Genomic DNA, 13,177 nt, shown 5'->3' with positions numbered 1-13,177 from the left:
CATGTGCCTGTTAGTCCCAGCTACTTAGGAGGCTGAGGCAGGAGAATCACTTGAACCCAGGAGGTAGAAGTTGCAGTGAGCCGAGATCATGCCACTGCACTCCAGCCTGGCGACAGAGTGAGACTCTGTCTTAAAAAAAAAAAAAAAATTCACTATGAGTATCAGTTGGGGGTAAACTTAAGGAGAACCTGCATTTTATACATTATATATTTCTGGAACATTTCAATTTCTTATGAAGATTTGCTACTGGTATAAATGGGAAAAGATAATTGTTCTTAAAACCCTATTTATTCTCCACAACCTATAAAAAAATTTTCCTGTTTGGAGAATTTCATCAATATCTATTTTCCTCCTCTGAAATTCTTTGCCTGACAAGTCAAAGATAAGTAATGCATTCACATAAATTTATTAGAAAGAATAAATGTCCCCAGCATCTAGTTTGACAATATTTTTTTGTGAAATGTATATCCTTCCATAGATATATATACCTTTTGTAGATACATACCTTTCATCTTAAAGGAATTATGCCTTGTAAAAGGGTATAATTCCTTTAATATGAAAATCAGATTCAACTTCTGTGTGCTTTTTAAGGGCAAATATAAGTGAGCAAATAAATTTGTGTGGATTATTTAGAAAGTGTAGATATAAATAATTTTCAAATATGCTTTAGAACACTCTCCCACTCTGGGAAGAAAATTTTAGAAAAAGGATAACCCCTGCATTTCTTTCCATTAGAAGTACATGATCAAAAGACAAAGTCCCTTTTTCCCTTGACTGTGACATAACATGTCCCTCATAGGCAACTGAACAGATAAAAAATCCAGACGATGCTTAGTAATTTCCTGCTTCCCCTTTAGTGCACAGTGTATTATCAGTATGTTTTGCCCTCTTTATTTAATATCTTGCTGAATTAAATTATCTCATCAGGTTTTTAAGCACAAGCCCAGCCTGCTTTCTGGATGACACCTGCCACAGGTCATCCTTCCTGAATTTCCTAAATAGCCCAGAATATTCTTCAAGCATGCCCCTGGCTCATCATCCAACTTCAGAGAATCAACTGGCTAGCACCTTGGAGCACCTGCTGTGGTAACGTGAGTGGCTGAACACCAGACAAAAGGAGGCTCCCAATCACTGTTGCAGATCTTGTTAAAATCCTGGCTCTATCCTCAGCTTAGGTGTATTCTTCTTGTACTAGGATAAAGCCTCTCTGACCTCTTCATTAAGGCCTAAGTATACAGTATGGTATATGACAAGCAGGACCTTCCTCTCCTCCCCCTGTATCTTCCCAAACTACAAAAACAGAAAGCCCCCAACCTTCTCACCCCTGCCTCACACAAATCCCCACAGTGGACTGTTTAAAAAATAACAGTACTTGGTAGATATATATTCTCACTTGCTTTCATTATAGAAAAAAGAAAGAAAATAAATGAACTAAACATCCAACTCAAGGAATTACAAAAAGGAGAAAGCCTCCTCTGCCCCCAAGGAAAAAGTTGGAAAAAAATAAAAGTAAAAGCAGAATAAAATGGATTAGAAAATAGAAAAATAGTGACATTAATAAATAAATACAAAAATGTTTGTTAACAAGCCCATAAAAGCAACAAGCCTATGGTAAATCCAATTGAGAGAAAACATTTAAACATTATAAATCACAAATAGCAGATGAAGAGGAAAGTAGCCTGCTAACATTTTTGAAAATCTCAATGAGATTAGTGATTTTCTGGGAAAAAATATTAGTTCCAAAATTCATTTAAGAAGTAGAAAAATCTAAATAAACCAACCCTACCCTAAAGACAATAATTGAAGAAGTTATGAAAGAGTAATCTCTAGACTCAGATAATTCTGTAGCATTTTAATTTTTCAAAAGCATTTACATGTGTATGATGAATTCTTTCTAACTTTTCCATTTGGAATATACAGAAATTGGAAGAAAAAGGGGGAAATCACTCTATTTTCATCACCTAAATACAGTTGAGTTTGTTGTCATTTTCTTTCAATTTTTAATATTTTAAATATTTTATTATGATTATATTATGTAATATATTCAGTGATTATATTATGTAATATATTCATTGATGAACACAAGCACAGCAATGCTACTTGACTTTTTTTTTTTTTTTTTTGAGACGGAGTCTCGCTCTTTCACCAGGCTGGAGTGCGGTGGCGCTATCTCGGCTCTCTGCAGCCTCTTCCTCTCAGGCTCAAGCGATTCTCCTGCCTCAGCCTCCTGAGTAGCTGGGACTACAGGCGCACACCACCATGCCCAGCTAATTTTTGAATTTTTAGTACAGACAGGGTTTCACCGTGTTGGCCAGGATGGTATCAATCTCTTGACATCATGATCCACCTGCCTCAGCCTCCCAAAGTGCTGGGATTACAGATGTGAGATACCACGCCCAGCCCACTACTTGACATTTTAATGTAATAAAAACTTGTCATTTTATTATAAACTTTTCATAAGAATAATTTATATCTATACATTGTTTAAGAAAATATACAGAACCTAAAAGAAGAATTGGAAAGTTTACATTAAATATATAAGGTGCTTGGTACAATGTCTGAACCACAGTAAGTGCTCAACAAATGGCAGCTATTATTGCTATAGTTTATAAGGGCTTTTCCTTTTGCATGTATCATTTATTTAACTTAGAATGGGTATTATTATCTCAGAAAATACTATTGCAGAATGGAGAGGGGGAATAGACAAACTTCTTCCCACAAAGGAGCACTCTGGATGCCTCTTGGAGAAGCCAAGCATATATTTTTGCTACTCAGGAGAATCTTTTTGCTGAAGTGACATCTAGGCTGAGCAGGATTCAACAAATTGGGGCCTAGAGTGGTAGAGAAGAGAGGTATCCTATGTCAACACTCAGAGACTAACACAGGACAAGGATCCTGAGTGTTCCTCAAGGAATAGTAGTAAACTTAGATTTGGGTTAGGATCCTTCATATAAGGCATTTGGCCTACGTGGCATGGAAATAAAAAGTTGATTATTACTCTGAAGACAGTGATAAAAAGAACATAAAGTACTCCAACCTCCAGAGACCTTCAGCTTCCATCTCACATTTCTCTAAAGTTTGCTGCTTTCTCCCTTACTATACTTTCACTAGTTTGGCTTCCATTTCCTCTTTGCAGTTTGTTTTTGTCATGTCCTTGTCCTTTTTAACCACTTTTTCCCTTTACCCCCAATTTCTCTTCACTTTCCTTTGCTCATAGAGTTTATTCCCATCCTTCCCTTATTCTTAGCTGCTTTTTTCCCCCTACCTCTCCACTTTCCCATTTTGGCCCCATCCTACCATTTTTCCACAACTGCTCCTATTACTAAATGCTTCAAATGTAAATGATTCTCTCCTCAGTTTAATACCTGCGTTTGGCCCAGTGTTTTTTCACTATTACACTTAATGTTGACCCACTTCATGTGTTTTGTATCTTACCCAAAGAAGTAGTCTCTATGGAGTCTGCTAGAAGCTATTATAGTTGACTTTCAGTAGATTACCTACAAATTCTATCCAAATAAAATTTCGAAGTGGCTTTCCTCTAACTTCAGGTGATCAAAGAATATATTTAAAATTTTTAATCTAAATCTTCAGATTTGTTAGCAGAAAACCTGTTCTTCATGGAAAAATTTAATTGGAAGGCCAATATATAAAACTAATGAAAGTGAAGCTGTTTGGGTGGTAAAGCATCTAGAGTCCTTGAAGCCTCACTAAGAAATCCTTAGGGCACACAGTTTAAATGGTTGAATGAAGGGGGCAGTATAAGGCAACAGAAGCTGTGTGACAGGGAGGACCATGTCCAACTGGAGAGTAGAATGAATTTGAATGAATTATTAGAATGAATTATTATTTACATAGGTAGGATGGTTCAGTGAGGGTAAAACAAGATTCATCACCCAAATTCCCAGTAACCTTTCACATCTTAAAGATGGCAAACAGGCCAAATGGGCTGTATTTGGCCTGCACAGGCATTTCTCCCCCAATGCAGTATTTTTAGTACTTTATGTTCTAGATGAGAGTAGAATGAATCAGCTCATCAACTGTTGCCATGTGGGAATGTGGTGTCTAGTGTAGTCACGTCATGCATTTTTGTAAGAGTATCTGGAAAGTTAGATTTTATATGAAATCTCCAGATTCTTAAATAATGGCAATAGTTTTAAATATTTTTTAAAATACTGCATTGGGGGGGAAATGCCTGTGCAGGCCAAATACAGCCCGTTCGGACTGTTTGCCATCTTTAAGATGTGAAAGGTTACTGGGAATTTGCGTGATGAATCTTATTTTACCTTCACTGAACTATCCTACCTGTGTAAATAATAATTCATTCTAATATTACAAAATGGCTTTTGTATTTCACAGTGCTTTTAGGGTAAGTAAGTAAAAAGCTATAGTATTTTATCAAGTTAAAAAAATACAAGGCTTTTTTATGTAGATCAGATGTTAATTCTAATTTCACACTTTAGAGAAGTTTATTACTCCAACTTCAAAGAAACAAATAGAAGAGGAGAAAAAGGGAAGGGGAAAGAGAACAGTAGTAATTGCTAAAACCTCCAATACATATCTAATAGAATTTTTAGATTTCCTGAGCCACTTGCTTTAGAGAAAAGTTTGAGAGTATGGAATAAGCTCCTTCAGAGTCCCAGTTTATCAGGTGATGTGCCTAATGGCAGAGAATCAGAAAGCCTTGTTTAGCAAGCCTGCGGGTGCTTGCCCATTTTAGCCTTCACATGTATTTTCTTTCCTTTTTTCTGGGACAGAGTCTTGCTCTATTGTTCATGCTGGAGTATGGTGGTGTAATTATAGCTCATTGTGACCTTGAACTCCTGAGCTCAAGCAATCCTCCTGCCTTAGACTCCTGAGTAGCTGGAACTACAGGCATGCACCACTATGTCCAGCTAATTTTTAAATTTTTTGTATGTTGTATGTAATTTTTTGTTATATGTAATTTTTCTATGTTGCCCAGGCTGGTCTTGAACTCCTGGTCTCAAGTGATCCCCCACCTTCACCTCCAAAACTGCTGGGATTACAGGCATGAGCCACCATGCCTGGCTGTATTTTTAAATGACTGCTGAAATTGCAATAGTGATTGCAGAGTTCCCTGCATCACTGTATTGGTGGCATCTTTTACTAGTTGTGCTTTTTTGATGTTCCACAGGAATGAGCATAGATGAACAATGTTGCATCACGCTTGACATCACCGGGGCTTCTTTCCAGTGTGGATTTGCTCATGTAAAATGAGGTGTGAGCTCTGCCTGAAAGCTTTTCCATATGCATCACATTTGCAGGGCTTTTCTCCAGTGTGGGTTCTTTGGTGTCTCAAAAGATGTGAGCTGTTACTGAAAGCTTTCCCACACACATCACACTCATAGGGCTTCTCTCTACCGTGGATTCGCTGGTGTCCAACAAGAGCTGAACTGTATCTGAAGGCCTTTCCACGCTTGTCACATTCATATAGTTTCTTTCCACTGTGGATTTTCTGGTGACAGAAGAGGCCCAAGCACTAGCTAAAGCTTTTCCCTCACTCACTACACTGCTATGGCTTCTCTTCAGTATGAACTCTGATGTTGTCTCAGATATGAACTCAGAGAGGATTTCCCACAATCATTACACTGGTATGGTTTCTTTTCCGTGTGAGTTCTCTGGTGTCAAATAACATCTGAGCTGTGATGAAAGACTTTCCCACACTCACTACATTGGAAAGGTTTCTCCTGTGTGGGTCCTTCAATGCTGAATAAGATATGAACTGTAATAAAAGACTTTTTCACACTCATCACACTGATAGGGTTTTATATGGCTATGTATTCTCTGATGGTCAGTAAGTTGTGAGCTCTGAGTAAAAGTTTTGCTACATACATTACATGAAGAGGGTGTGTTACCAGTACAGATTATTTTATGTCTAATGGGGCTTGAGTTTTGAGTGAATGTTTTCCCACATTCATCACACATATATTTTCTCTCAGTTGATTGTGTTTCTCTGATATATTTCTTTGTTTTTTGTTTGTTTGTTTGTATAAGACGGAGTCTCGCTCTGTCGCCCAGGCTGGAGTGCAGTGACGTGATCTTGGCTCAGTGCAACCTGAGGCTCCCAGGTTCAAGGGATTCTCCTCTCAGCCTCCCAAGTAGCTGGGATTACAGGCTTACACCACCACACCTGGCTAATTTTTGTATTTTTAGTAGAGACGGGGTTTCACCATGTTGGCTAGTCTGGTCTCAAACTCCTGACCTCAGGTGATCCGCCCATCTCCACCTGGAGTGGTGGGATTCTAAGTGTGAGCCACTGCACTCGGCTCTCTGATATATTTCTGTCCATCTTTCATGTTCTTGGGTTTCTTCTCATTCAGAAGCCTTTCATTGATTTTCCAGGTAACTTTTCTTGGGATTCCATATCTACAGTAAGTTCCTGCCCTTGAATCAGTTCTATTTTATTGATTCTGATAACATAATCTGAAATAAAAAGTAGAGCATTCAAATGTCACTGGGGTATACAGGAACTAAAATACATATACTAGAAGTAGATGGCTCAAACATACCAACAAAATGGTTTTAAAACATTTGAGGAGGAAATTGAGGGATGGTAATGGAAGACAGGATGGACTGAACTTCGAAGGCATGATTGAAGAAAAGAATGGAGAAAAATAGGGAGGAATGATAATCATGATCCAATGAGGAAGCAAAGTAAACAACAGAAGAGATCTAAGATAAGAATATGTTCACCAGGAAAGGCCCAAAGTTGAGTAGAGAAAAATAAAAAGAGAGAAAGGAAGTCAACGGTGGCAGGTACCCCATGAGTGCCATGAAATTGTTCTGTGCAGGTTGCCCTGAAGGCCTCTGGGAATACCGAAAAAATCAGGGAATCAGAGCACAGGGAAGTATCCCATTTCCCATGTGCAGAACAAAGAGATTAGACACCTTAGACAAAACAAGATGTTATCACGGGGATAGAACAGAAATTGCTTTGGTCCCTAAAGACCTCACTACTGTTTTTGTAGAGAACACTGGGGATCTGTCAAGCTTCAAGCTGCATTCTGTGGGTCATTTCAGACTTCCCAGGCTAACAGTCACTAAGAGAGAGGAGGTTCTTTAACAGACCCTCAACTTGCATCTGTCTTTACCCAGGGGATCCATGTTCCTATAATTCCTCTGCCTGTCTTTCCTGGAGAGGTTCCTCTGAGCAGGATCTCAATACCGTCATTTCTCCAGGGCAGGAGATGTGGCCATATCCTCAGTAATCTATAGTTTTTGAAAACATGAGATTTTCATACCCAAGGCATATTTGCCTGAACTTAATCCCATTTTTAGGACCCAGAGTAAAGGGGAGAATTTGTAACTACATAGGAAGAACACAGAGAAAAGCAGTGTTTTGAGTGGATAAGGAACATTAAATGGAAAAAAAAAAAGACAAATCATGAAGACAGTTGAAGCACTAGGACACGGACAAGTCACAGCTAACTCTAGGCAGAGGCAAAGGGATTCATTGTGCTAAAATGTGTTGACTAAAGAGACTCGGACGAAGAAGAAAAGGAGCCACGGTGAGACAGTGAATTCAAATCTTCGAGAATGTGGATGAGGAATAAAGTTCACTAAGCAACCTGTCTTGAGAAAAATGACTCTCATCTGGGTCTTGGAACTTCTGTGAAGGGCAGGAACACAGGGATGAGGCAGAACTGAGAAAGCACATTGCCAAGAGTGAGATCAACCTTCTCTTGGGGACTTGTTTTACACCAGAGCCTGCAATAATCTCACCATACCAGCTTGTCACACTGCTTAAAACCCTCTCACTGTTAGTGGTTATTTAAGGTTATCTTAAAGTCTTTGGGTGCTTTAAAACTTTATGTTACAGCTACCTGTCTTGGTCCATTTTGTGCTGCTATAACAGTATACATAGACGAGGTAATTTATAAAGAACAGAAATTTATTTCCTGACTTCTGGAGGCTTGAAGGTCCAAGATCAAGTTGCTGACATCTGGTGAGGGCCTTCCTGCAATGTCATTCTATGGCAGAAGGTGGAGGGGAAGAGAGAGAAAGAAAAGGGGAAAGGGGTCGGGGGGAAAAACGCACCAAACTCATCCTTTTATTAGGAACCTACTCCCATGATAACTAACCCACTCCCACAATAAAGACATTAATCTTTTCATGAGGGCAGAGCCCTCATAACCTAGTCACCTCTTAAATATCCCACTTCTCAACACTGTTGCACTGGGGATTGAGTTTCCAGCATGTGAACTCTGGGGGACAGGTTCAAACCGTAGAGCTACCTGAACTATATCTGTGTGCAGAATCTGAAAGCAAATTGCACAGATACACATTTATAAAAGAACATAGTCTTTTAGAACCATTAGCAGATAAAAAAAGTGGCTATCATAGATGGCATCCAAAAGACTACTACAGATATAATAACTAAAATCCATATTAGCATCAGAAGAAAATATATGGATTATTATAAAAAAGAAGCACAACATAGAAACTCAATTTGTAACTGAATAAAAGAGGTTGAGGAAAATGGTGTATTTCCAGTCAAGATGGCACAGTGAGTTCATACTTCATCTCCAAATACAAAAAGTAATAGATAAAAATCTGTAAACACATCTGTGCTTAAAAAAAAAAAAAAAAAGAAAAAGAAAAAACCCAACAAGATAAACATTTCTGTGGACCAGAAAGGAAGCAAAAACACAGAATGGTGGCTATAGCTGAAGCTCTGGGCCTGCTGGGCTCCTGGTCTTACACAGTGACTGAAGTCTTGTCACCAGGGGAACCTGGAGAACTACAAGTGCTCCATGAGAGGGGGGACTGGCACCATCATACTGCCTGGTGCCAAAGGCTAGGTGGAACACACAGGCACCCACATACACAAGTACCTTAAAATGCACAGAGCAAGATAGAACCCTGTGACCAAGAACCATGTGAAGCCATCTGTAAACCTGTGACTACATTGATGATATTTGTGATATCACATGGAACAGTAGTCCTAAAATATCACTGTATAAAACCTGGTTCTGGGGGAGGAGGTGCAGGTAAAGGTACAACAGAATTGGTAAACAAAGAAGAGTAGAAGGTAAATAGACCAGAACTCAAAATGAACCTAGAAATAGAAATTTCAAAACAAATGAATTGAATGCTAAGAAAGATGGTTACAAAATGACCAACTGGAACATGAATTCAATCCACATGAAATTACTTTCATCAAACAGCCTGATGAAATTAATAGATTAAAGATATGGGAAAAGAAGACAAATGATAACATACCATCCATGGCAAATAAACATACAATTATGAAACAAGCAGAACAAGGATAATTGCTATGAAAACTAAATAGAAATTTTAGAAATAATCATTTTTGAAATAAAATCTTCAATGAAATGGATAAGCTGAAGACAGCGAAAGGGAGAATAAACTGGAAGATAGTAGAAGAAGAATCCACTAGGATGTACCGTAGAGAGACAAAGACATAAAACATATGAAAAAGCAGTTAAGTAGAATGGATGATTGATAAGTGGTTCTAATGAGTACATGTTGGAAGCTCCAGCAGACAATAATATAAGGAATTAAAAAGATGCTTATTTAAGGAACTCATAGCTGAGAATTCCCCAGATTGAAGAAAAACATGGGTATTAGAGCAAAAGTGCATTTATAGGCCAAGCGAGATGAACAAAAATAAAACGTATTGGACATACTTAGTGAAACTCAGAGCATAAAAGTTAAGAGTAAATTTAAAAAGCTACTAAAGAGAAAAAATTGAATCTTTTTTTAAAGGCATTTAGACTGCCAGTAGCTTTTTGCCAGCAAACAATAGAAGCTAGAAGACAGTGAAGTATTAATAGTATCTTCAAAAGGCTAAGGGAAAAAAAGTCAATTTAGAATTTTATCCCAGCTAAGTCATTATTTCAAAGGAAGGGCAAAATAAGAGAACTTTCAAACATGGCAAAAGCTCAGTCCACCACCCAAAGAACCTCACTAAAGTAAGTTTTAAAGGATAGACTTCAACAAGAGTGAACCCAGAGGAAAGGTGTTAGTATACAAGAATGGTGACCTCAGAAATTGATAAAAATTATCAAAACAATTTAATTTACTATTAAAGAACTCATCTGTTGAGCATACAAGCCCTTCATGATCCTAGAACTGGGATTCTCGACCCTAGCTACACCTGGAGAGTTAAGAAAAAAAAGCAAGCCCATGCCTGGGCCCCACTCTTGTCTAAAGAAAATCCAGTTTCTGAGGGTGAGGCCCGCCACTGATAAATTTTTAAAGTCATCCAGATGCACAATCACATCACTCTGATGTGAGACTGCCCCTGCTTACCTTTCCAATTTCATTTTCCTAACTCTTCACCTCTCTCACATTTTTACATTCCATCTCTACTATGGAGTTAAGAACATGGGCTCTGGAGACAGACTATTTAAATTCTACACCTGCTATCTATTAATATGGCAGTCTGCTACCATTTTAGGATAAATCTGATAGACCTACCTACCTAGAGCCTCTAAGGGCAGCAGTGATTTGCAGGCCAGAGTGAGCACTAGTGTCCATAATTTATAAATATTAATTTCTAAATTATGAACAATAGTTTTATTAATTAAATTAATTATAATTAATTTAAATCTTCATGAAAAGGATCATTTGTGTTCACCCTACTCCAAGAATATGTTATACATCTCAGTAAGTTGCCCATTAAATAATAAAGTTTGACCAACAAATGGCAAGCCTCAGCTATTTAGGGAAACCCTAGCATGCGGAACACCTTATTTTCTAATAATGCTATTACTAGAAAATTTGGAAAACATGCATTTCAAAATGAATGAACAAACATACCCCTATAGGTAAGACGTATCCTATAGTCATTAAAAGTCCTCCCTAGGTATAACAAAGAAGACCATAATGAAGAAAACATAGCTCATATTTTTTAGATGACACTATTTCCAAAAATGATGTTTTTCATTTTCTTTTGGGAAAGTGAGCATCATTTCCACCCATCAGACTTAGGAAGATTCCAACCCTGATACCCTGGATCCTTACTGAAGCCAGGAGATGTGTTAAAAAGAGCCATTCTGTCCTCTTTCCAGTACCCTCTGGAGCTTTAGGACAAGCGATCTAGCTACATCTCTCTCTCCCTCTCCATCCACCTCCTGAAACTGCCCTACTGTTGGCCCTCATAATGTTGAGTTGGAACTATAGCAATAGTCTTCAAAGTGGTCCTTTTTCTCCTCCCTCTGCAATCCAGCTTATATCTAGTTTACAGGGCACGTGTTAGTTCCTGCTTGTATATATAGTCCATCTTCACACTGCTATAAAGATCCTGAGACTGGGTAATTTACAAACAAAAGAGGCTTAATTGACCCAGTTCTGCATGCCTGGGAATGCCTCAGGAAACTTACAATCATGGTGGAAGGTTAAGGAGAAGCAAGTACCTTCTTCACAAGGTGGCAGGAAAGAGAAAGTGCGCAAGGAAAACTGCTACTTTTTTAAAACCATCAGATCTCATGAGAACTCCCTCACTATCACGAGAACAGCATGGGGGAAACTGCCCCCATGATCCAGTCATCTCCCACCAGGTTTCTCCCTGGACACACGGGATTACAATTCGAGATGAGATTTGGGTGGGGACGCACAGCCAAACCAAACCCCCATCTCAAGAAAAGAAGAAAATAAAAATAGGCTCTCTACAGTTTTGTTCCAGACCACCTTGTTAGCATTCTTCCTCTATTGGCTACTCAGTCTCAGCCAAGCTGATACACTCCCATCCTCTTATCATTATTTGTACTTTTCCACATTATTCCTCTGCTCAGACCTCATCATTCACCTTTACTGAGCATTTTCTACATATCAGTTGTGGGGGATAAACAGGAACTTCAGACAAGTGAAGCAGTAATATAGTATGCTAATGCTATGACAGAAATATGCACAAGGTGCATCATATAACTCAAACATGTGGGAGGGTATCAAGAAAGGCTTCCTAAAGAAGGTGACAGCTGAGTTGAATCTTGAAGAATAGCTATGAATTGGGTTGGCAGAACAAGGGAGAAGGTTTGGTCAGAGGTGGTATTTTACAATACTAGTTCAACAAGGTGGAGGTGTGTGTGTTCATGTGAGTATGTGGCAGCGGGGTGGAAAAATGTTGGCCATATTTGCAAAAAACTGAAATGTACCATGGGTCTGATGGGGCAGGGAAGGAAAGAAACATTGAGAGGAAAAAAGGGATGAATGACTACAAGTCTTAATGTGATGGAAGAAGATAATAGAGGGACAGAGAGCTAGAAGAGGGGTAAGTATGAGGTACATCATTCCTGATGCTGTCTGCCCAGTGAAATGTTACCAGTTCTTTATGATCCAGTTCAAATTCCAATCATTCCACTAACACCACCATGAGGGCCTGAAAAGACAGATTTCTCCCTTCTCAGAACTGTTATCTCTGATTTGGCAATCGTTCACTGCCTCAAATGAGGCAATCTTTTTATTGGTACCCAACTCCTTTAGGGCAGGGACCCTCATAGACACCAAAGCTAGGTTTTACACACTGTGAAAGCTAAATATTTACTGACGTATTGGTGGGGGGACTGGAGTCTCGCTATGTTGCCCAGGTTGGTCTCAGACACTTGGACTCAAGCGATCTTCCTGCCTCAGCCTCCTGAGTAGCTGACATTTTCTGACTTCTTAACAGGAGCCACAAAGCTCTCATGTCCAGGCCCCTGACCACCTCTTCTCTAGGTCTCTGTGTCCACGCTCCAGTCACACTGGTTTTCTTTCAATTCCTCAAACCCACCAATTTCTTTCCCACTCCAGTTTTTGCACATGCTGTTGTGGTCTGGAATGCTTTCCTCTCTATTATTCACTTAGCTAATTTCTACATCACTTTTAAGATTCAGCTCCCATATTACTTCCTCAAAGAGACCTTCCTGACTACACTCTCTCTCCATATACAATCTGTCACAGTATATTTATTTGCGTGTTTAGTACCTCTGTCATAAGATTGTCTCCATGAAAGCAAAGATCATTTCTGCTTTGTTCACTATTCCTAGAGCCTTGAACAGTACCTAGCACATAAAAAGTAATATATATTTGCCAAATGATGGATGATTCTAAGGTCTCCAAGGGAGCCATATGACACAAGTGTCAACACTAATCACAATCCTTTTGCTGTTGAGAGTCCTGAGAGTCACTTTTAAGCTGAGTCTCCACAGAAGGATTG

The 13,177-nt window shown here is 38.8% G+C and overlaps 1 pseudogene, besides 1 other annotated feature; it reads right to left on the bottom strand.

Annotated features, from left to right (window-relative positions):
* Window positions 5,384-5,955, bottom strand: ZNF602P (zinc finger protein 602, pseudogene; annotated as a pseudogene).
* Window positions 12,227-12,427: a silencer, noted in NCBI's record as "peak5744 fragment used in MPRA reporter construct". NCBI's record gives its function as "represses an SCP1 promoter by STARR-seq MPRAs in K562 erythroleukemia cells {active_cell/tissue: K562}" and the evidence as "EXISTENCE:reporter gene assay evidence [ECO:0000049][PMID:32103011]".

Source organism: Homo sapiens, chromosome 6 (genome assembly GCF_000001405.40).
Source record: "Homo sapiens chromosome 6, GRCh38.p14 Primary Assembly".
NCBI classification, from domain to species: Eukaryota; Metazoa; Chordata; class Mammalia; order Primates; family Hominidae; genus Homo; species Homo sapiens.
This window is presented reverse-complemented; position numbering and strand designations above follow the sequence as displayed.